The sequence below is a fragment of the Homo sapiens genome, chromosome 5 (genome assembly GCF_000001405.40).
Source record: "Homo sapiens chromosome 5, GRCh38.p14 Primary Assembly".
Classification (NCBI taxonomy): Eukaryota; Metazoa; Chordata; class Mammalia; order Primates; family Hominidae; genus Homo; species Homo sapiens.
In genome coordinates this window covers 81,690,803-81,715,434 of record NC_000005.10, presented here as the reverse complement: position 1 = coordinate 81,715,434, position 24,632 = coordinate 81,690,803, and the positions used below count along the sequence as shown (strand labels likewise).

Here is a 24,632-nt window from a genome sequence, read left to right as displayed (position 1 = left end):
TCTAATCTACACTGGTTGTTTACCTGGTTTTGGCATAGTTGTTATCTTGGACTCTTTATTTTCCTTAGCATCCTCATCATCTTAAGAATTTCTTTCTTGTGCTGGATCCCCTGTTGCTTGATTTCCTTTTTGTTAGGTCATTATTTTGGTGGAACACATTCTCAAGTAGCAACCTGAGTACTTGGTGGCTTCTTTTGACCTAGAAAATCCTACTCTGTTCTGGCAATTTTATTGAGTTAGTTCTTTTGATTTTGTCTCTCCCCCTGTCTCCCCAGCCCCTCCTGTCTGTCTCTGTGAGTGTGTGGGTGTGTTTTAGAATCCCCATTTTCTTTGATGTAGTAGGAATATGGATTGCCCCTCTAATTATTATCTTTTCTCTTAAATATTTTCCACATCTTTCTATTTTGGTTTTCCTTTATTGGGCGATTTCCTCAGTTTTATCTTCCAACCCTCCACAGATTAAAACAATTCTCTTGTTACTGGACCTCCTACTTAAAAAAAAAATCCAGTTCTTTCACTGTGCAGAAGCTCTTTAGTTTGATTAGATCCCATTTGTCAATTTTGGCTTTTGTTGCCGTTGCTTTACAAGCAACCTATAGAATGGGAGAAAATTTTTGCAATCTATCCATCTGACAAAGCGCTAATATCCAGAATCTACAAAGAACTTAAACAAATTTACAAGAAAAAACAAGCCCATCAAAAAGTGGTTGAAGGATATGAACAGACACTTCTCAAAAGAAGACATTTATGCAGCCAACAAACATGAAAAAAAGCTCATCATCACTGGTCATTAGAGAAATGCAAATCAAAACCACAATGAGATACCATCTCATGCCAGTTAGAATGGCAATCATTAAAAAGTCAGGAAACAACATGCTGGAGAGGATGTGGAGAAATAGGAACACTTTTACACTGTTGGGAGTGTAAATTAGTTCAACCATTGTGGAAGACAGTGTGGCAATTCCTCAAGGATCTAGAACCAGAAATACCATTTGACCAGCAGTCTCATTACTGGATATTTACCCAAAGGATTATAAATCATTCTACTATAAAGGCACATGCACATGTATGTTTATTGCAGCACTATTCACAATAGCAAAGACTTGAATCAACTCAAATGCCCATCAATGATAGACTGGATAAATAAAATGTGGCACATATACACCATGGAATACTATACAACCATAAAAAAGGATGAGTTCATGTCCTTTGCAGGGACATGGATGAAGCTGGAAACCATCATTCTCAGCAAACTAACACAGGAACAGAAAACCAAACACCGCCTGTTCTCAGTTATAAGTGGAAGCTGAACAATGAGAACATATGGGCGCAGGGAGGGAAACACCACACACCAGGGCCTGTTGGGGGATGGGGGCCTAGGGGAGGGATAGCATTAGGATAAATACCTAATGTAGATGACGGGTTGATGGGTGCAGCAAACCACCACGGCATGTGCATACCTATCTAACAAACCTGCACATTCTGGTCATGTATCCCAGAACTTAAAGTATGATAATAATAAAAATAATAAAAATCCAGTTTTTGTTTCATGGTTGCTTGTATTCTTTTATCTCTTTGAAGGTTAAGAATAGTTTTTGGAAATTTTCTTCTCTTTACCTATTATTTGTTTCTTCCAAGTTACTCTTTTTGTTTGTTTGTTTGTTTGCTTGCTTTGGTCTCTGTCTTTCCTATTTCAGGCTCTCCTTAAATGTGTGGTAGTGGTTGTTCACTGATGCATTCTAAAAAAAGTTCTAAAGAGTGGAGTAGTAGTTCTGTGCCTCTGGATGAGGCTTGTAGACTTACGGGTTTCTGTTTAGGATAATCTGGTAGGCTGTTTTATTGGCGATGTACATCTTTTAAGTGTCTTATTTTAGGCTGGTCAGATTCCCTAGGGAAGACTCTTAGTGGATGGAGGGTATAACCCTGCAGTGATTTGGAATCCAAATGGGCAGAAACACATAAACTTTTTCTTTATTCTTTTCTTTTTTAGTGTGATATGCCTGTTCTAAACTTGCCTTATGTTTTTTAGTAATAATAAGACCATTAAAAAAATCTCCACCAAGAGAATAAATCTCCAAGTCTTTTGCTGGGGTTGGGGAGGGGTGTTCCCCTGTTTGGAGTGTGGAGGGGTGGAGTGGGGAGTTTGGAATCTTACAGATTTTTAAACAGATTTTTTTTTAATCCTCCTGTTTGTAAACTTTTTCTCTCACTTCCAGAGGTACCTGGTACTGCAAATTTAGCCATTTGGAGATTCTATTATGTAATACTAACCCTATTTGCTCTTTTGTCTGTTTAGTATTCAGATTCCTTAGGTTTGAAAAGTGATTTACCATAATTTTGTTACTGTTGTTTCATCTGGTGGACTCTTCATCCTTGCAAATTTAAGCCTTAAAAGAACATCCCTTTAGGCCAGGTGTGGTGGCTCACCCCTGTAATCCCAGTAATTTGGGAGGCTGAGGTGGGTGGATTGCTTGAGCCCAGAAGTTCAGGATCAGCCTGTACAAGCTGGTGAAACTCCGTCTCTACAAAAAAATACAAAAAAAATTAGCTGGGCATGATGGCGCATACCTGTAGTCCCAGAGGCTGCGGTAGGAGGATCACTTGAGCCCAGGAGGTCAAGGCTGCAGTGAGCCATGATTGCACCACTGCACTCCGGTCTGGGTTACAGAGTGAGACCCTGTGTCAAAAAAAACAAAAAAAAAAAAACAAAGAAACAAACAAAAAGTCCCTTTACTTTCATTTTGGTGGGACAGTGTGCCTGTAAATGTAAGTTCAACCTACCATCCTTAGCCAGAAATCTGTAATCTTTATTTTTTTTTTTTTTTTTGAGACGGAGTCTCGCTCTGTCGCCCAGGCCGGACTGCGGACTGCAGTGGCGCAATCTCGGCTCACTGCAAGCTCCGCTTCCCGGGTTCACGCCATTCTCCTGCCTCAGCCTCCCGAGTAGCTGGGACTACAGGCGCCCGCCACCGCGCCCGGCTAATTTTTTGTATTTTTAGTAGAGACGGGGTTTCACCTTGTTAGCCAGGATGGTCTCGATCTCCTGACCTCATGATCCACCCGCCTCGGCCTTGTAATCTTTATTTTTTAAAGACATGATCCTTTCCCTTTTCTAACATATGATAGATGACAAAGGCATATTCTTAACTGTTATGTGGCTGGAGGGTATAAGCCAGCAGTGCTTTGGAATCCAAACAGGAGCAGAAACACATAAACTTTTCTTTATTTTTGCCCATTTATTAGAAGGTCTTATGAATATCCATCTGTCTATTCACAAGCTCTGTTTCAGGTTAGATCTCGTATGACTTACTTAGACCATAATTTTTGATATTTTAACTGAAGAGCTAGTGGTTAATAATAGCTACAATAGGTAATCCAAAGAAATGTCTGAAGATTCAGTATGGTGTTTAAACTATAATACTAGCAACAGTGATAATAAAAATAGCTTAAATAGCTTATAGTTGTGCACTAAGTGCTAGGCCTGTATTAATTTTTAAAATTTCACACCAATTTTATGAAATAGGGACTCTTATTTTCCTCCCTTTACAGGTGAGGAAACCGAGGCACAGAAAGATTATGTAGTTTTCCATAGTCAACATGGCTAAACTAGGAAGTGGAGGAGTAAGAATATAAATCTCTGTAGTCTGGCTCCAGAACCCACACTGTTAACCATTATGCTAATCTACCTCCATATACTGTTGGGATTATTTTGGATGAGATAAAGGTTTTATTTTTTTTTTTATCATGTAGAGTGATCAATTTTGTCTACTACAATTTATTATCTCTTTAGGCTTTATTTATCATAAATAGTATGCAGACTTACTGTTGGTGATATATCTGAAGATAAGTTGTTACCTTAGACTTTTCTGGCATGTCCTAAAAGGCTCAACTTCTTTCCCTCTTATACAATGGATATATTTCTGATAATTCTCTCCTATTGAACTGTCATTGATTCACATTTTTCTAAGATTGCCTCCTGCTTTTTTATGCTTTTATTTAAGCATATGGTAAATTTCTGGCAAAGCGATGAGCTGTAGGAAAATGTTTCTTTTTTAGATAAAATCAAATACTAATTATTTTGAAGGTGAATTGTTATATTTTGGTATATTTGGAATAGATATTTCATTGATAACTTATTGAGCAGAATCAACTAGCTGAGTTTAGTCTTTAAAAACATAAAAGCCTATTGTTTCTTTTGTTTTAGTTCTAAGAAAGATGCTCTTAAAGACAAGCACCTAATTATTTAATTCCCTTCCTGCATCAAGATATGAATAAACTACTAATATTATAGAATTAAACTTGCCCTACTTTAGGCTTTTATACCCTCTTAACTATTTAAGTTTATGCCTGAAAGGGAAGAATCAGATTTGTTATTTTTATTGTTATTAAATGAACTTTAAGAGCATTAGATACGGTAGTTATATTCCAATCTAGACACAAACATACAGTTCCTTGCCTGGCTCTTCAGGATTTATTTATGGTGATATGTTAAAGGTGCTAAAAATAATTACGTATTTATATTAACAAATCTTGGAAAAAGATTTACTTTTTAAACTTGATTTGCAGATTTCTTTTTATTCGTGCTCCCATGACTGTAATGTTCTTTCCTTCCTGCCAATTTTTGCCTATTCCTTATATTAAAACATATTATCTCACTTCTTTTTAGAATTCATCTGTGCCTTATTCCAGTTCACTCTTGTAAGGGTGATGCTTGTGATCCCCTCAGCCCTCATGTATTCATTCGTATTATATTGGAGGTAATGTTTTGTTTCTATGGAAATGTGCTTTTTAGTTTCCTATTTGTAGGTTTGTGCTTGTCAGTTAAGAATAAGTTGTTTTCAGTTGAAGTCCCCTCTAGTTATTTCTACCTATCAGCCCCTCATATTATACTTTGGCTTCTAAAAGACCAGTATATATTGGACACAGTAATTCCATAGAAAAATGTGACTAAATGTTGTAACTGTATAGGTCCTTATCATGACATTTAAAAATTCATCATCTTCCCATTTCTAACCAAGAGGAACACTAGCAAAGCTACTCTTTATCACAAGATTCTTTCTTTGGGATTCATTTGGAAGGTAAAACTGATACAAGATACAAAAGCATATTTATATTAGGATAGAACATCAGAAAACACTGCCTTTGCGAGGAAGCCACATTTTTCTTCCAAGGTATCTAATTAGACAATCCTCGTCTGTCTACTACCATTACTTAATTTACCCTTTACACCCATTATAATTGGACCATGGTTACCATTGTGTCCTATAAGCTTGCCAGTTCATGGCAGTGGGACCAAGTGAAGTTTTATCAACAGTTTGAGTTTTTAAAATAGAGTTCACTCTCTTGGTTTTTTTTCTCTTCTAATTTAATAAGCAGTAAGTTTGCTGAATTTGAGGATACTGTGGCAAGAGCCATCTGTAGTTGAATATTTTAGTTGTTAAGTATAAAAATTCAGATATTCAAAAGTATTGAAAAGAATTTGCTTATTTTTCTTCTCCTGATATGCTTCTAATTTTTTAAATTTAAAATATTGAATTGAGGGAAGACTGCATCCCAGACAAACTGACTTCTAAATAGCATGCAAAGGAATAGTTCTGCAAGTGTTCTACATCTGCTATGATGGCTTTTATATATTTATTTTCGTTGGACTTTTAAAATTTTTTTCTTTTCAAAATAAAGGTTTATAAAGAAACTAATACCAAAATTGATATATTTTTAAAATTCTCTTTTTAAATTAAAAGGGAAAACATCTCAAGTTCTTAGAGATCACTGTTTTTTCCTTTCTATATATATGATTCTTTAAATTCTTAGAGCTCAAATTAGACATGAGTATTTCAGGTGTCTAGGCTTTCTCTTTTTCCTTCTTGGTCACACTTTTATATGTTTGTGTCTTTTATGAGATGTGAGCTAGATTAAGATTTGTTGATATGCTATAAATTGTGATTAAGATATTATTCAGGAATTATTAGGAACTGCATATAGGTAGAGAAGATGGAAAAAGCTATGTATTTGCTTAATGACATTATAGAAGAGAAAGTAGGAAAGGGGAAGGGGTAAAATATGGAAAAGAAAGGTGAAAGAGATCAGAAGAAAATGGAAAAATAATTATTTGCATAGCTATAGTGGGTTATATATTGGCTTCTGTTTCAATTTATTTATTTTTACTTCTTCTTTTCTCATTGAGTTTTTAAATTCTAGAAATGAAAGCCATTACATCTGCTGCCTTTAAAACTCCCAGACTTTAATAGTGTCGACTCAATTATCCATTGAGAGATTATCTGCTTTGTGTTTTAGCCTTTGCAAATACAGCTTTCAAGCTCTTATTGGCATAAGTAAACAAAGGATGATAAAGACTTTTTGAGTCTTTTCACTATTTCATGCTTACTTTTATACTCCTGTGTAGCCTGGCTCTTCCATCAAACTACTTTCAGTGAACCTTTAGCCTATATTCAACATAGATCAGTTATCTCAGATATTTTTTCTTGTAAAAAAATGTAATCACAATAAGAGTTTTTCTAGTAGATTTAATTGTCTTTAAATTGACTTTTACTCCCACCTCTCCCTGTGTCCTCTACCTTGGGAGTAAAGATCAACACACTTTACTGTTTCTTCTGTATTTATAGTACCTTACCTGGATCACTGATACTCAACTCACTCCTAAAGACTTGGAAAAGTCTTTAGCTGAAAAAGACAGCTTCAATTGGGACACATTGCCCATACATACAGACTAAAGAAGAAAGGGTACATTTTAGAAGGATTTTTCAGGGAGAGTTGAAACATTAATTTTCTGGTTGTCTCTGATGAAAATAAAAATTCCTTCTCCTGCACAAGGGAATGATAAAATAAAAATGCAGTGAATTTAAGAAAACACGAAACAATTTTTGTTTAAGCCTGCTTTAAAAAAAATCTGAGAGATGAATTTCTCTCTCTCTAACATGACGCATTGGTCAGCAAAGAGTTAATAAGGAAAATTGAACAACTTTTCAATTAACTCATTAAAGTGTTTCTATATTATATTGTTTAATGCTTTATCAATTATCAATTCCAGAGAACTTAAACATTATTCAAATACATATCAGGATTTAATCTAAAGTCAACTCTACTCCAGTACAAAGATATGTATCTGCTGTATTGTACTATATGCATAACTCTTTCATAGCTTATGTGACTCTATTTAATCAATTCCTATTTCCTTTTCTGTAGAGAGAGCTCCTTGAAGGCAGAGACCCTGTCTTTGAGCTCTGTATCTTTAAGATTTAGCCAGTTTCTGGAATATAAAGTATTGGCTGAATTCATTATTATGTGAGCTATCAGTAATAGCTGTGTCTTAGCGGGGGGTTATAGTTTTAAAAATTAACAGATAAGGAAATATTGACCATAAGGTGCTTTAACTTGTATGTGTATTTAATTTAGTGTTTAACATCTGGTCATTAGCTCTCATTTTTGAGGAAAAACATGAGGATCACTTATATCTTTTCTGTACTTTATGCTCTTTTTCTTAAAGCAACGTGTGTTAAGTAAATTGCAAATCTTTGGTGATAACATCTCCTATTTGCTTAATATTTTGTATTTTTCCAAGCACTTTCCCACACATTGTTAAGTTCTATCCTCACAACAACCTGAAAGAGGTATGGTTAAGGAAACTGAGGAAGAGATTTATGCCAAAGATTATGAGTTTAAAGCCTAGAATCTAGGACTCCTGAATTTCTAGTTCGTTTCTATTTTGTGTTTCCCTTACAGCCACTTTTGAAGTCATTTCTTATTGCCTGTTGTATTAGTTTGCAAGGGCTGCTGTAACAAAGTACTACCAAGTAGGTGGCTTAAACAACAGAAATTTATTGACTCATGATTCTGGAGGCAAGAAGTCTGAAATCAAGGTGTTGGTGGGATTGGTTCCTCCTGAGGACTGTGAGGGAAGGATCTGTTCCAGGTCTCTCTCCTTGCCTTATAGATGAACTGACCAACCTCACCCTGTGTCTCTTCATGTCACCTTCCCTCTGTAAGTATCTCTGTGTCCAAATTTCTCCTTTTTATAAGGACATCAGTCATATTTGATTAGAGGTCAGCCCTACTCCTATATGACCTCATCTTAACTGATCACATCTTCAGTGACCTTATTTCCACATTAGGTCACATTCTGAGGTACGAGGGGCTAGGACTCTAACATATCTTTCTGGGGATGGAGGCAGGAACACACAATTTTACCTATAACATTTACCTTTTAGTAAATGAAGCCTTACTGGAGATGTTGACTTTTCTTTCCAAGAACTTAATAGAAACTCCTCATTTGATCCTCACTGCTCTGTTACCTCTCAGAGGAAATTAATTTAATACCCATGAAAGGCATTTTTGGCAGAATCATTCCTGTTTTGTTCCTCAGGGCCATAGAGTTATCTAATGATTAGTTTGTGGAAATAACCCGTATTTATAATTTTATTTCCCTGAAATTTTCTTAAATGAGAATACATAAGATTAACTGAGAACTAAGCTCTTCTCTTGGGGCTAATCTCTTCAAGTAAGTCTGTGTGTCACCTCATGCTCCAGCTGTTTTTCTGTGCATCTAAATGGCCCACTTCCCTAGAGGACTTCAGCAGATGATAGAAGAGTCTCTGAAGGAAAGTTGAGATTAATCAGACTATCAAGTACCTAGCTCTGTTTTGTTTTGAGCATAGTCCATAAACAAACGGTAAGAAGATTGCCTGAACAGTAAGATTCAGAGGTAGACAAGGAACTCGTTACTGTTATTTAGATTAAATTCTGTTGGGTAACTGGCTTGTTTAACTGGATTTTCCTTTTTGTATCATACTTTAAAAGGAAGAAATAACTTGTATAAAATAGTCTTTTCTGGGTCAGTAGGCATTTAACCAGATCCCTTATATGTATATGTATCACCAGGATAGGACAGTGATTAATATTGAAGAAAACAGTAATTTTTAAAAATAATTAAAACTTTTATTTTAGATTTGAGGGTACATGTACAGATTTGTTGCATGGATATATTATGTGATGCTGAGGTTTGGGCAATGACTGAACCTGTCACCCAGGAAGTGAGCTTAGTACCTAACAGTTTTTCAGCCCTTTCCTCTATCCTTCCCTCTCCCCTCTAGAAGACCCCAGTGCCTCTTGCTGCTATCTTTATGACTGTGAGTACCCAGTGTTTAGCTCCCACTTCTAAATGAGAATATGCAGCATTTGGTTTTCTGTTCCTGTGTTAATTTGCTTAGGATAATGGCCTCCAGCTGCATCCATGTTGCTGCAAAGGACTTGATTTCGTTCTCTTTTTTTATGGCTGTGTAGTATTCCATGGTGTATATACCCCAGTCCACTGTTAATGGGCACCTAGATTGATTCCATGTCTTTGCTACTGTGAATATGCTGTGATCAGCGTATGAGTGCAGGTGTATTTTTGGTAGAATGACTTATTGTCTTTTGGATATATATTCAGTAATAGGATTGCTGGGTTGATTGGTAGTTGTGTTTTGAGTTATTTGAGAAATCTTCAAACTGCTTTCCACAGTGGCTGAGCTAATTTACATTCCCACCAACAGTGTATGTGTGTTCTCTTTCCTCCATAGTCTTGCCAGCATCTGTTGCTTTTTGACTTTTTAATATAACATACTCAGGGTGGGTATGTTTGGTTCCCAACCTGTCCAATTTAAAATGTTTTGCCATTTTAAGTTTTACTTAATACCAGTATTCATAGTCAAATAATTTTAGATTTTTCCTAGAGTTTGCAATATAAAAAGTCAGGAATAAGATGAGGGAGCTAAAGGAAGGACTTGACTTCCAAAGATTCTGAAATACAAGAGAAAGGCTTAAAATAATTAGTTTTTTACAATTATTAATTAGTTGACATCTAATTGCGATGTAGTTAATTGGCTTGGTGTGTTTATGGCTCTTTATCCTAAAGTATATATTTAAGTACCTAAAAGGATCAGTTAATTATTTTTTCTTTGAGTTGTTTCTGGAAAATTGTGTAGAATAAAAATATCTCAAAATATATGTGTCCTTTAATATTAAAGCACTTTTGTAAAGTATATAACATTTCCTTGGTTTGCTACTTATCACTTTTTAAGGGGGATCTGTTGCTTTCCATTACTAGATTTTTAAGAATTATACTCTATTAATTGGCTTTTAAAAAACTCTAACATTTTATTTGCAGATTAATAAGAGGAGTATAGAAAAATTTGTTAAACATATTTTCAAGTGTTTTCCTCTCCCCTATCACTATGCACAAGAGTGTTCACATATATAGGCACTATATATACTATTTGTTGGATGGCTGTTGGAATGGGTGGGTAAGTGGATGAGTAAATAATATATTCAGATTTGTTGTATATTATATACATGTAATATACATAAAAACAAATATGTATATATTTTGTGTGTTTTGAATACTTTGGTTAAGTGGCTTCCAAAGTATGTGCTATAAAAACCTTCTGCACAAAAAGGTCTCCATAGCCAAATAGATTTGGAAATGTGATATATTATTTTTATGTCAAGAAATTCTTAATATAGATTAACACGTTAAATATTCTGAGTGGTCTGGAAATAAAGAAACTCATTTAAACTTAGCCTAGTATTTCAATAACTAATGTGAATAGGGAATGCATTTTTTTTTTTTTTTTTTTTTTTTTTTGAGATGGAATCATTCCCCGTCACCCAGGCTGGAGTGTAGTGGTGTGATCTCGGCTCACTGCAACCTCCGCCTCCTGGGTTCAAGCGGTTCTCCTGCCTCAGCCTTCCAAGCAGCTGGGACTAAAGGTGCGCGCCACTACGCCCAACTAATTTTTGTATTTTTAGTAGAGACGGGGTTTCGCCATATTGGCCAGGCTGGTCTTGAGCTCCTGACCTGGTGATCCACCTGCCTTGGCCTCCCAAAGTGCTGGGATTACAGGCCGAGCCACCATGCCTGGCCAGGGAATGCTTTTTAAATCCCTAAACAATTGTATAATATTGTGTATATGTGTGTGTGCATGTGTATATATGTGTGCGAGCATGTGTGCCTGTATGCATATGTACATTCAAAACTTGGGAACTAGTGGGTTTTTATGTAATGTAAGTGGTAGAACTGAACAGATGTTGGTAGTATGTCAGAGAAATGGGAGCCAGTGATGTTATTTCATAAGACTCATAGGTAACTTGGAAAGCATATGTGAGATTAGAGTTTTTATATTCGTTAGTGAAGTAGAGATAGTGAAAGCCTGCCATACTCCTCACCAATCGTAGTCATGTCATCATTAATTATATGCCTCAGTGAAAGGATTGAGAAAAAGAGAACAAAAGAGCATCAGATAACTAAGAAGAATCCCCAACCCTGTACCTCATTGGTTGGGTAACACAAATGCCAGTGGAACCTGGACAGTAATGATGATGTGACTGTTCCACGTGGCTCAGCTTGGCCAATTTCCTCAGCTCCTGGTGTTCTGTGGTCATGTCCAAGGGACTAAAGCAGCAGTAAAGCTCCATAGTCAGATGTCTTTGACTTACCCATTTTAGGTAGCAAGTATCTTCAGCTCTGCCTCATTCTATTTACTATAAAACAAAATACAGTAAGGAAGCAACCTAGAATTTGTTAGTGGGTACAATGAAAAAGTAGTCACCATATTTTGGATCTGCGCATTTAAAAAAAAGAAAAACATTAGTTTAAAATAAACTGAAAGATAATCTAAAATAAATTGACTTTATTAGTCTTGTTTTTGGCATTTCTCTTTTAAGGGAAATCATTAGTGAACATTAATAAATCCAGTGTTATCTATTAGGAAAATAAATACAAAGATTTAAACTCAGTAGAGGAATTGAATTTAAACAACTGAATTTAAAAAATAATTGTTTTGACTTTTTTCTTTTTTTTCTTTTTTTAAATTTTATTATTATTATACTTTAAGTTTTAGGGTACATGTGCACAATGTGCAGGTTAGTTACATATGTATACATGTGCCATGCTGGTGTGCTGCACCCATTCCCTCTGGACCTCCTTGGATAACCTGATGTGCTTTTCCTGTCTCAGGGAATCACTATTCCAATGCCCGATTTTGAGTGTCCATCTAACAAGCACTGCAGACTGTAGCTCAGGCTGCCTGAGCTCTGGAGATCTTCCTGGGTTGCTGGCACTGTCTGTGTGTCCTGTAATACCATGACTGATATATGTTGTATTCATGGCTGAATATCTTCAAAATAACTTGTGTATTCTCAAAGCTTACTTTAAAATCTAATTTTTAATTTCAATTAAGTTATTTAATTAATTAGAAAAGGCTATGTAAACACTAAAGGTTTTTATAATTTAATAGGCAAACTGCTTTACCATTTAATCCTTGATTAAATATTGAACCACTTTAGCAAAGTAGCCACCACACAAAGAATACTGAATAAGATATGGGCAAAAAGGAATAAAAAGAATAAAACAGACAAAAATCCCTCATTAAAATGACCAACTTGTCTGTTGTAGATAGTGGGGAATGTGTGTAATATCTGCTCTTATTCCCAGTTGTTGGAGCTTGAGTACATTAAGATTGAGCCACAGCATGAGAAATCAGAGTTCTTTTACTGTGCTGTAGTTCAATATAAGGCTTGATTGGCAACTTAGTGTAGGTCACAGATCTCTTAGCTGGCTAAAGGCAATGAAGATACTATGTAGCTCTTCAGGGGGACATAGTGGAAAGTGGCAAAAATAAATCTCAATTTTATCCCCCTAAAATAAAATGACAGAAAAATGTAGGGACCCAGTTTAAACTGGCATTTGGATTCTCTGAAATAGGGATTCTTTCTATTGGGATTGAGCACTAGCAGAGAGCTCACACTCAAATGTCTGGATGAAAGTGTAAAATTGAGAAGTTCAGTTTCAAAAAAAAATAGCATTCCTGCATTTTTTCAGAACTTATGGCATTGTGTTTCATATACTTTGTATTTTCCGATGCCTATTTTGGAGCTTCCATTATTTTGTTTCTATTGCTTTGCATGAGAGCCCTTATATAAGTGAGATTGAGTAGTAGGCAGATTCTATCTATAGCTTTTGTCCTCTTCTAAATATTACAGAATTTGTTTGTTTGTTTGTTTGTTTTTTTGAGATGGGAGTCTCGCTCTGTTGCCAGACTGGAGTGCAGTGGCACCATCTTGGCTCACTGGAACCTCTGACTCCTGGGTTCAAGCGATTCCCCTGCCTCAGCCTCCTGAGTAGCTGGGACTACAGGTGTGCGCCACCACGCCCAGCTAATTTTTCGTATTTTAGTAGAGACGTGGTTTCATCATGTTGGCCAGGCTGGTCTTGATCTCCTGACCTCGTGATCTACCCGCCTCGGCCTCCCAAAGTGCTGGGATTACAGGCGTGAGCTGCCGTGCCTGGCCGAATCTTTTTTTTAATTAAAAAAATTACAATAGTGATTTCTTTCAGTGTGTACCTTATTAGTCCCATATAACTTTGTTTCAGATAATCCCTATTAATGATACAGTTAAACATACATTTTAATAATCTGTGAAAACATTAATGCAATATTTTCTAAACTTTTCATTAACTACTATGTATTAATAAATTGGCATCGTTGGTTAACAGGGTTCTGAGGTCAGATAGGTTTATGGTATGGTGCATACTTATATCTCTTCTTAGAGATTTATAATGTACATTATAATGTCAAAGACTCAGAGTTGCTGAAGTAAATAATTATGTTCAGTCCAGGAGTTTCTTTAGGTGCCAAGGATGGAACAAAGTGACAAAGATGTCTATTCCTTTAGTGCTTTTGTATTTTGGAGGGCTTGTTTTGGTACAACTAAAATAAAAGGCCTTATAAAATTAGCCTACTCAAAATGTTCTCATTTTATTTGAGACATCTTTAGTGGGATAATTTAGCATGGTGCTTGGCACATAGTACAGGTGCACCTTGTTTTATTGTGCTCCACTTTATTATACTCAGTAGACAATATTATTTTTTACAAATTGAAGGTTTGTGGCCACCCTGCATAGAGCAAGTCTGTTGGTATTATTTTACCAAGGACATGGGCTCACTTTGTGTCTCCACATCACATTTTGGTAATTTTTCTTCTATTTCAAACTTTTTATTATTATTATATCTATTATGAGGTTCTATGATCAGTGATCTTTGATGCTACTGTTGAAATTGTTTTGGGATGCCACAAACCTCACCCACAGGAGATGGAGAATATAATTGATAAATGTTGTGTGTGTTCTCACTGCTCCACCAAACAGCTGTTTCCCATCTCTCTTCCTGTCTCTGAGACATGAAAGTATTACAATTAGGCCAATTAATAACCTACAATGGCCTCTAAGTGTTCAAGTGAAAGGAAGAATCATATGTCTTTTGCTTTAAATCAAAAGCTAGAAACGATTAAGCCTAATGAAGAAGACATGTCAAAAGCCAAGATAGACTGAAAGCTAGGCCCCTTGTGCCAAACAGCCAAGTTGAATGCAAAGAAAAGCTTCCTAAAGGAAATTAAAAGGGCTACTCCAGTGAACACACAAATGACAAGAAAGTAGAATAGCTTTATGGTCAATACGGAGAAAGTTTGAGTGGTTTGGTTAGAAGATATGGCCACAACATTCCCTTAAACCAAAGCCAAATCCAGAGGGAGATCCTAACTCTTCAGTTTGTGAAGACTAGGAGGCAAGGAAGTTGCAGAAGAAAATTTTGAAGCTAGCAGAGGTTGGTTCATGAGGTGTAAGGAAAGAACCCGTCTCCATAATATAAAAGTGCAAAGTGAAGAAGCAAGTGCTGATGATATATAAGCTGCAGCACATTATCCAGAAGATCTAAGATCATTGATGAGTGAGGCTACCCTAAACAAGAGATTTTCAGTGTAGTTGAAACAGCAGTCTATTAGAAGAATATGCCATGTAGGACTTCACAGCTAGAGAAAGTAGCCAATGCCTGGCTTCAAAGGACAGGCTGACTTTCTTGTTAGAGGTTAATGCAGCTGGTGACTTTAAGCTGAAGCCAATGCTTATTCTGAAAATCCTAGGAACCTTAAGAATGATGCTAAATCTACTCTGCCTGTGCACTATAAATGAAATGGAACAACAAAGCCTGGAAGACAGTACATCTATTTATAGCATGGCTTACTGGATATTTTAAGCCCACTGTTGAGACCTACTGCTCAGGAAAGACTATTTCTTTCTTTTTCACTGCTCCTTGACAGTGCACTTTGTCACCTAAGAGTTCTGGAGATGTGCAAAGAGATTGATATTGTTTCCCTGCCTACTAATACAACATCCATTCTGTAACCTATGGATTAAGCAGTAATTTTGACTTTCAGGTCTTAATTAAGAAATACATTTCATGGCCAGGCACAGTGGCTCACACCTGTAATCCTAGCACTTTGGGAGCCAAGGTAGGAGGATTACTTGAGTCCAGGAGTTTGAAACTAGCTTGGGCAACATGGAGAAACTTCATCACTACAAAAAAATATTAAAAAAATTTAGCTAGGTGTGGTGGCAGGTGCCTGTAGCCACTTCAGGTGGAAAGATTACCTGAGCCTGGGAGGTTGAGGCTGAAGCACACCCTGATGGTGCCACCGTACTCCAGCCTGGGTGACAGAGCAGACCATGTCTCAAAAAAAAAAAAAAAAAAAAGAAATTGATTTTGTAAAGCTATCTGTCATAAATAGTGATTCCTCTGTTGAATTTGGGCAAAGTAAATTTAAAATTTTCTGGAAGGATTCACCATTCTAGTTGTCATTAGGAAAATGTGCGACAAATGGGAGGAAGTAAAAATATGAACATGAACAGGAGTTTGGAAGAAGCTGATTCCAACCCTCGTGGATGACTTGGAGGGTTTCAAGACCGGAGTTGAGGAAGTCACTGCAGATGTGGTAGAAATAGCAAGAGAACCAGAATTAGAAGTGGAGCCTGAAGATGTGACTGAATTGCTGCAATCTCATGATACAACTTAAATGGATGAGGAGTTATTTCTTATGGATGAGCAAAGAAAGTGGTTTCTTGAGATAGAATCTGCTTCTGGTGAAGATGCTGTGAACATTGTTGAAATGACAACAAAGGATTTAGAACATTACATAAACTTAGTTGATAAAACAGTGGCAGGGTTTGAGAGCATTGACTCCAATTTTGAAAGAAGTTCTACTGTGGGTCAAACAGCATAGCATGCTACAGAGAAATCTTTCCTGCAAGGAAGAGTCAATCAATGCAGCAGACTTCATTGTCTTATTTGCCACAGCCACCACTGCCTTCAGCAACTGCCACCCCGATCAGCCCATAGCCATCAACATCAAGTCAATACCCTACACCAGCTAAGGATTACTACTTGCTGAATGCGCAGATGATCATTAGCATTTTTAGCAATAAAATATTTTTAAACAAGGTATGTACATTTTTTAGACATAATGCTATTGCACACAGAATACAGTCTAGTGTAAACATAGCTTTTATATGCGTTGTGAAGCTAAAAAATTCATGTGACTCACTTTATTGTAGTGTTCACTTTACTGCAGTGGTCTGGAACTGAACCCACAGTATATGTGAAGTATGCCTGCAGTTGCTTAATAAAGAAATCTTTCTTTAAATTTTGTTCAGATTGATCAAGGATGGGCAGTGAAGTACAAAGACTTCAGAATTAGATTTATTGGAACCTGGCAAATGTATGCAGTGTATTTTTTATTTTTTGAGATGGAGTCCTGCTCTGTCACCTAGGCTGGAGTACAGTGGTGCAATCTTGGCTCACTGGAACCTCTGCCTCCCAGATTCAAGCAATTCTCCTGCCTCAGCCTCCCGAGTAGCTGGGATTACAGGCATGCACCACCACAGTTAATTTTTGTATTTTTAGTAGAGACAGGGTTTTACCTTGTTGGCCAGGCTGGTCTCGAACTCCTGACCTCAAGTAATCCGCCCACCACAGCATCCCAAAGTGCTAGGATTATAGGCGTGAGCCACCGCACGTGGCCTACATGCAGTTTAAAATCAATGCTGCTTTTCCACCCATCTCTTTGCCACCCCTTAACCTGTCTTTATTGCTGAAAATGAGTTATTTGTTAAAAATAGGATAACTTTTGGTGTTCATCCTCTTACCTTTTTGTTTTGTGCTATATTGTGCCATTTTTTGCAACTGGTATAAATTAAAAAATATGAAAATAGGTAGAACATTCAGATAAAAATGATTTATTAAATCCTTGTAGTACACATAGCATCACAATCTACATTAGGTTGCCTATTTTATTGTTTACACATAATGTAGAAGAATTAAGCTTGATATGCCAAAAAAATCTTAAAATTATTTTTTACTATAATCTGATTTTGTGGTTGGTACATTTTATATTACAGATCTTTTACTTTCAGTGTATTTTCTTTGTAGTTCATTTATATTCTATGTTAGTCATAGTCTGATTATTTTAAATGGTCACATAAATTTCCCAGTATCATCTTTAACATTTTAGGAGATAGTGTCTTAAAAAAAGAAATTGAATATAAAATTAGTTGGGATATAAAACACAGTGTAAAGAAGTTATTTTTCAAAAGAATATGTAGATGAGATTTTAGATTATTTTACCATAGAGGCAGATAATTATACTTATATTTTCATAATGTCAATATTTATTCAGTTGATATGTTTCTTCTTTTGTGCATCATTTGGATATTTGAGTAATTATTACTGGATTTAGGGGCTTAGTACTTACAGCAGCAAAATATTTACTTAGTGTTTTACCTTGCCTATTTGGAGAATATTATTCCTTTTTAAAGAGTTTTTTTGTGGTCTCCAGAAAATTAGATAGCAGAGCTGAAAGCCCAGGCCCTGTTTTAGTTTGTTCTTCAAAATTTTGTCCTAAGTAGTTCTAGAAAAGATAAGATTAAGAATATTTGGGCTGGTAATCATAGTAGTTAACTATTATATTTGCCTTTTTATGCTTTATTTCTTGAAACAGTGGTTTTATTTTTGTTGATGCTAATCTGGTTAAAATAGAACATTGGGTAAGGAATATTAATGAAACATTCCATATAAATAAATACTACGTTATAAGTTCCAATACAAGCAATCATAGACTATTGCGATAAAAGCATACTTAAGAATATGTCTGTTTAAGTGAATGAAATAAACCACCAGCTAAAAACAACCAATCTAGACAATTCAGTCTGAAAGCATTTCTACTACAGTGAGTCTTCCTTTCCCTGCTCCTCAGTTTTGTACAGAAAAAGGTCCTCAGCCCTCCATTTTATTTTTCTGGCTGGTTAAGTCGAAAGCATTTATCACTTTAAGTTATCTTATAGTGAAACCAGTGAAAGATGATGTAACATTTCAAGTTTCAACTGGACAGCCGAATTTTTGACAGCCTGTCTTGGGTAGATAACATCTTTGGCCTTTGATAAATTAAAATTATTTTAAAAGAAAATCCCACTCATCTCATATTGCTTGAAGGATAAAGAAGGTACTTTTCTTTCTGATCTCTGAAATGCCCTGTATTCTTTCTTAACTGATGACAGGTACGTGTGCATCATGGATGGGGATTCTTGGAGATGTTGGACTTCTCCCTGTGCCCAACCTCCATCCACTTTATTTCCACAGGTATTTGTCAAGTGCTTAAAGTGTGCCAGATGCCAGGTGAGGAATACGGTGCTGCACAAGGCATGCAAGGTTCCTGCTCCGTAGCAGTTTATAGTTTCATCTCCTCATACTTCGTGTTTCTTAGTGTAGGAAATATGAATTAATCACTCTATATGCTGCCCCCCTCTGCCCACCCAGTGTGTAAATAGGTTGCCTTTCAAAAGGTGGTATGTAAATTAGCTTGTTTGGTACAGGGAACATAGTCCCGGCAGAGAAAATATTATGAATTGTAATTACATTGCCAGATGGTTATAGTTGAACTCCAGAACTAACAACTGTGGTTTCCCATTGTCTTTCAGAATGAGTTTCAACTGTAATCTAAAATTTAGAGAATCTGCTTAGTTTTACAGGCAAGTCCAATGCCTAGAAGAATGTTCTTTCTCCCACCCCCAACTTCCATACCCCTTGAGGAGCAGGGATTTTTTCCATTTCTTCGTGTAGCTCATCGGCAGTGAGAGGGAATTTCTTCCTTTACGTATTATGGTAGTGGCAAGGACAAGAGAGAAAAGAGTATCCTCTGCATCTGTGACAGGAAGGAGATACAGGATCCTGGGAGTTAAAGAAATGGGTTGAAGTAGTTATACTTGGAGACAGGTATATATAAAAGCTCATTCTGGGCGTGGAGAATCCTTCGCACCTAGAAAAGGAATGATTGGAGTTCAGGGTAAATGGAATAGTATTGGGGTGGAGTCAGGAGTGGGGAAGGGTAGGTTGGAACTAGAGCGGAGTGTTTAACCGTAGTGGCATGTAGGGAACAGGAATCTTTGCAGTCAGCCTAACCGGGGCCTTGAGTTTCTCAGATGCTGCATGTGCAGGATGGATATTTGCAAGTCAGGTTCTGCCTGTACTCTGTTTCCTTATATTAACATTTCCTTTTTATCAATAATATCATTAGGAAATATTTGAATGTCTATAGAGCACATGGATCAGTTTTTAAAATATTACTCATGCATTTTATTAAATTTTCTGATAAGTATTAGAATCTTTGAAATCTTTTCAAGATAAAAATTATATTATTAAGCAGAATTTAAAATCAATGTAAAATAAAATTCCTTAAAGAGAGAAGACATAATTAAATAAAATCCACTAATTAAACCTCATTTAGTCAAAGCAAAGAGAGAAGTTCCTAGCAATAATAATCTAAAAAGGAAACAAGATTTACTTACGGATTACAAGCAAATATAGAAAAATGACATTAGTAATATCTAAGTTTTCAAAGTTTATTTTCAACATAAAATGTAGAGATTTAAAAGTCACCCTTGAGGACAGAAAACCAAATACCGCATGTTCTCATTCATAGGTGGGAACTGAACAATGAGAACACTTGGACACAGGGCAGGGAACATCACACACCGGGGCCTGTCGTGGGGTGGGGGGAGGGGGGAGGGATAGCATTAAGAGAAATACCTAATGTAAATGATGAGTTAATGGGTGCAGCACACCAACATGGCACATGTATACATATGTAACAAACCTGCAGGTTGTGCACATGTACCCTAGAACTTAAAGTATAATAATAAAAAATCCTTGAAAGACTAAACCAGAATAATTCTTAATCACTTTTTGGTGCGATTTGTCTTGCATTTGCTATGTAATTACTGGTTTCCTAATCTGGGATATATTGTAAGAATACAACATGAAGTACAAACATTGCAGATACTTTTTCTCAGTTTTAGTAAGTGATTTTAGATACTTAATTTTATTCTTTCTTATAGTTGGTTTATATGTATATACTCAAGAATGAAATCTGTTACAGTGGCATTTTATCAGTATTTTCCTGATTATTTAAAATATGTTCCTTTGAACATTATCTGTAATTGAAGCTACATTGCAAGGTTTAGACCTGGTTATTTGAGTTTTGTTTCTTTGTTTCTTTTAGAGGCAGAGTCTTGCTCTGTTGCCCATGCTGGAATTCAGTGGTGTGGTCACAGCTCACTGCAGTCTTCAACTCCTGGGCTCAAACAATCCTCCTGCCTTCCTGAGTAGCTAGAAGTACAAGAATGTGCCTTGTACTTCTAGTCGTACAGGAATGTACCATGCCCAGCTAGTTAAAAAAATTTTTTTTTGTAGAGGTAGAGTCTTGCTATGTTGCCCAGGCTGGTTTTGAACTGCCGGCTTCAAGTGATCCCTCCACCTTGGACTCCCAAAGCATTAGGATTAGAGGCATGAGCCACTACACCAAGCCTTCTTTGAATTTTGAAAGGGAACTGTCACTTTAGTTTGGTGGTGGTGGGGTAAGGGTGGAGGATAGAGACTGAATGGGGCTCAGGAAAAAGGAACAGAGGCTTTTTAAAAATTGAAATAAAAAGTACTTTTACTGTGGATAGAAAAAAAAAACTTCTAAAGCCAGATTAATGAGGATGACTTATCTGGAAAAGTCAGTCCCCAAATTTACTTAGTCAATATTTCTAATTGTTAATTTTTGTGGGTACATAGTAGGTGTATATACTTGAGATAATGTGACACAGGCATAGAATGCATAATAATCACAGGGTAAATGGGGGTATCCGTTACCTCAAGCATTTATTCTTTTATTTTGTTACACACAATACAATTCTACTTTTTTAGTTGTTTTAAAATGTACAATAAATTGTTGTTGACTGCAGGTACCCTGTTGTACTATCAAATGCTGGGTCTTATTCATTCTGACTATTTTTGTACCCACTAACCATCCTTACTTTTCCTCGCCCCACTACCCTTTAGACTCTAATAACTGTCATTCTACTTTCTGTCTCCATGAGTTCAATTGTTTTAATTTTTAGCTCCCACAAATACCTGAGAACATGCAAAGTTTGTCTTTCTGTGCCTGGCTTATTTCACTTAACATAATGTCCTCCAGTTCTGTCCATGTTGTTGAAATGACAGGATCTCATTCTTTTTTTTTATGGCCTACTTCATTCTGTATATGCACCATATTTTCTTTATCCATTTGTCTGTTGATGGACGCTAAGATTGCTTCCAAATCTTGGCTATTGTGAGTGGTGCTGCAATAAATATGGGAGTGCAGGTATCTCTTCAATATACTGATTTTCTTTCTTTTGGGTGTATACCTAGCAATGGGATTGCTGGATCATATGGTAGTTCTATTTTTAGTTTTTTGAGGAACTTCCAAACTATTCTCTATAGTGGTTGTACTAATTTATATTCCCACCAACAATGTACGAGGGTTCCCTTTTCTCCACATCCTCTCCAGCATTTGTTATTGCCTGTCTTTTGGACAAAAGCTGTTTTAACTGAAGTGAGGTGATAACTCATTGAACTTTTGTTTGGTTTTTCTCTGATGATCAATGATGTTGAGCGCCTTTTCATATGCCTGTTTGCCATTTGTATGACTTCTTTTGAGAAATGTCTATTCAGATCTTCTGCCCATTTTATAATCACATTATTAGATTATTTTTCTGTACAGCTGTTTGAGCTCCTTATATATTCTGGTTATTGATCCCTGTTAGGTGGATAGTTTGCAAACATTTTCTCCCATTCTGCGGATTGTCTCTTTTAACTTTGTTCAGTGTGTCCTTTGCTGTGAAGAAGCTTTTTAACTTGATGTAATTCCATTTGACCATTTTTGCTTTGATTGCTTGTGCTTGTAGGGTATTCCTCAATAAACCTTTGCCCAGTCCAATGTCCTGGAGAGTTTCCTCAATATTTTCTTTCTTTTTTTTTTTTTTTTTTTTTAAGACAAAGTCTTGCTCCATCGCCAGGCTGGAGTGCAGTGGCGTGATCTAGGCTCGCTGCAACCTCTGCCTCCAGGTTCAAGCGATTCTCCTGCCTCGGCCTCCTGAGTAGCTGGGACTACAGGCGCGTGCCACCATGTCTGGATAATTTTTTTGTATTTTAGTAGAGACAAGCTTTCACTGTGTTGGCCAGGATGGTCTCCATCTCCTGACCTCGTGATCCACCCACCTCAGCCTCCCAAAGTGCTGGGATTACAGGCGTGAGCCACCACACCTGGCCTCCTCAATATTTTCTTTTAAGAGTTTTATAGTTTGAGGTCTTAGATTTAAGTCTGTAATCCATTTTGATTTGGTTTTTATATATGGTGAGAAATAGGGATCTTGTTTCATTCTTCTGCATATAAATATCCAGTTTTCCCAGTGCCATTTATTGAAGATACTTTCCTTTCTCCGGTGTATATCCTTGACATCTTTGTCAAAAATGAGTTCACTGTAGATGTATGGATTTGTTTCTGTGTTCTCTTTTCTGTTTCATTGGTCTGTGTGTCTGTTTTTATGCCAGTACCATGCTGTTTGGGTTACTATAGCTGTGTAGTATAATTTGAAGTCAGGTAATGTGATTTCTCCAGTTTTGTTCTCTCTGCTCAGGATAGCTTTGCCTATTCTGAATCTTTTGTGGTTCTATATAAATATTAGGAATGTTCTCTATTTCTGTGAAAAAATGTCATTGGTATTTTAATATGGATTGCATTGAATCTGTAGATTGCTTTGGGTAGTATGGACATTTTTAGCAATATTGATTCTTCCAATTCATCAACATGGAATATCTTTCCATTTTTTTTGTTGTCCTCTTCAATTTCTTTCATCAGTGTTTTATAGTTTTTATTGCAGAGATCTTTCGCTTCTTTGGTTAATTCCTAGGTATTTTATTTTATTTTCGGTTATTATAAATGGGATTACTTTCTTGATTTATTTTTCAGATTGTTCATTGTTGACATATAGAAATGCTTCTGATTTTTGTATGTTGGTTTTGCTTCCTGCAGCTTTCCCAAATTTGTTTGTCACTTCCAATAGTCTTTTGGTGGAGTCTTTGGGTTTTACCAAATATAAGATAAAGTCATCTGCAGACAAGGATAATTTGATTTATTTCTTTCCAGTTTGGATGCCTTTATTTCTTTCTCTTGTCTGATTGCTCTAGCTGGAACTTCCAGTACTGTGTTGAATAACAGTGGTGAAAGTGGGCATCCTTGTTGAGTTCCAGATTTTAGAGGAAAGGCACATTGATTGATTTGCATCTGTTGAACCATCCTTGCACCCCTGAAATAAATCTTACTTGGTTATGATGAATGATGTTTTTAATGTGTTGTTGAATTTGGTTGCTAGTATTTTGTTGAAGATGTTTACATCAGTGTTCATTAGGGATATTGGCTTGTAGTTTTCTTTTTTTGATGTGTCTTTGTCTGGTTTTGGTATCAGAGTAATACCAGTCTTCTAAAACGAGTTTGGAAGTCTTCCCTCCTCTTCTATATTTCAGAATAATTTGAGTAGAGGTGGTATTAGTTCTTCTTTAAATGTTTGATAGAATTCAGCAGTGAAGTTAATGGGTCCTGGGCTTTTCTTTGCTGGGAGTTTTTTTTTTTATTACAGCATTAATTTTGTTACTTGTTATTGGTCTGTTCAGGTTTTGGATTTCATCTTGGTGCAGTCTTGGTAGTTTGTGTGTATCTAGGGGAATTTGGCCATTTCTAGGTTTTCCAATTTATTGGCATGTAGTTGCTCATAGTAGCCACTAATAATCCTTTGTATTTCTGTGGTAACAATTGTAATGTCTCGTTTTTCATCTCTGATTTCATTTATTTGGGTCTTCTCTCTTTTATTCTTAGTCTGGGTAAAGGTTTATTGATTTTGTTTATCTTTGGAAAAAAACAACTTTTTCATTGATCTTTTGTATTGCTTTGTTTCAATTTTATTTATTTCTGCTTGATCTTTATTATTTCTTTCCTTCTACTAATTTTGGGCTTTGTTTGCTCTTGCTTTTCTAATTCTTTAAGATGCATTGTTAGATTGTTTATTTGAAGTTTTTCTACTCTTTTGATGTAGGTGTTTATAGCTATAAACTTTCCTCTTAGAATGGCTTTCGCTGTATCCCACAGGTTTTGGTATGTTGTGTTCCCATTATCATTTGTTTCAATACATTTTAAAATTTCCTTCTTAATTTCTTCACTGACCCCACTGGTCATTTAGGAGGACATTTGTTCAATTTACCTGTGTTTATATAGTTCCCAGAACTCCTCTTGTTACCGAGTTCTGGTTTTATTTCATTGTGGTCAAAGAAGTTATTTGATATAATTTCAGATTTTTTGGAATATTTTAAGACTTGTTTTGTGGCCTAACATATGGT

At 36.1% G+C, this 24,632-nt stretch overlaps 1 protein-coding gene across 88 annotated transcripts in view; it reads left to right on the top strand.

Moving 5' to 3' along the window:
- Nucleotides 1–24,632, top strand: part of SSBP2 (single stranded DNA binding protein 2) — a 339,004-nt gene that overhangs the window by 36,373 nt on the left and 277,999 nt on the right. For 4 of the 88 annotated variants that reach the window (XM_047417060.1, NM_001394351.1, XM_047417058.1 and 1 more), the window contains exon 2: nucleotides 4,667–4,757. The exons of 83 other annotated variants lie outside the window; for them this stretch is intronic. In XM_047417060.1, the coding sequence (XP_047273016.1) occupies nucleotides 4,708–4,757 (50 nt within the window). In that variant the 5' untranslated portion in view covers nucleotides 4,667–4,707. Of the gene's footprint in view, nucleotides 1–4,666; nucleotides 4,758–10,642; nucleotides 10,765–24,632 lie in introns of all 88 variants that reach the window. One more of the 88 variants, NR_174529.1, reaches the window with a different exon arrangement.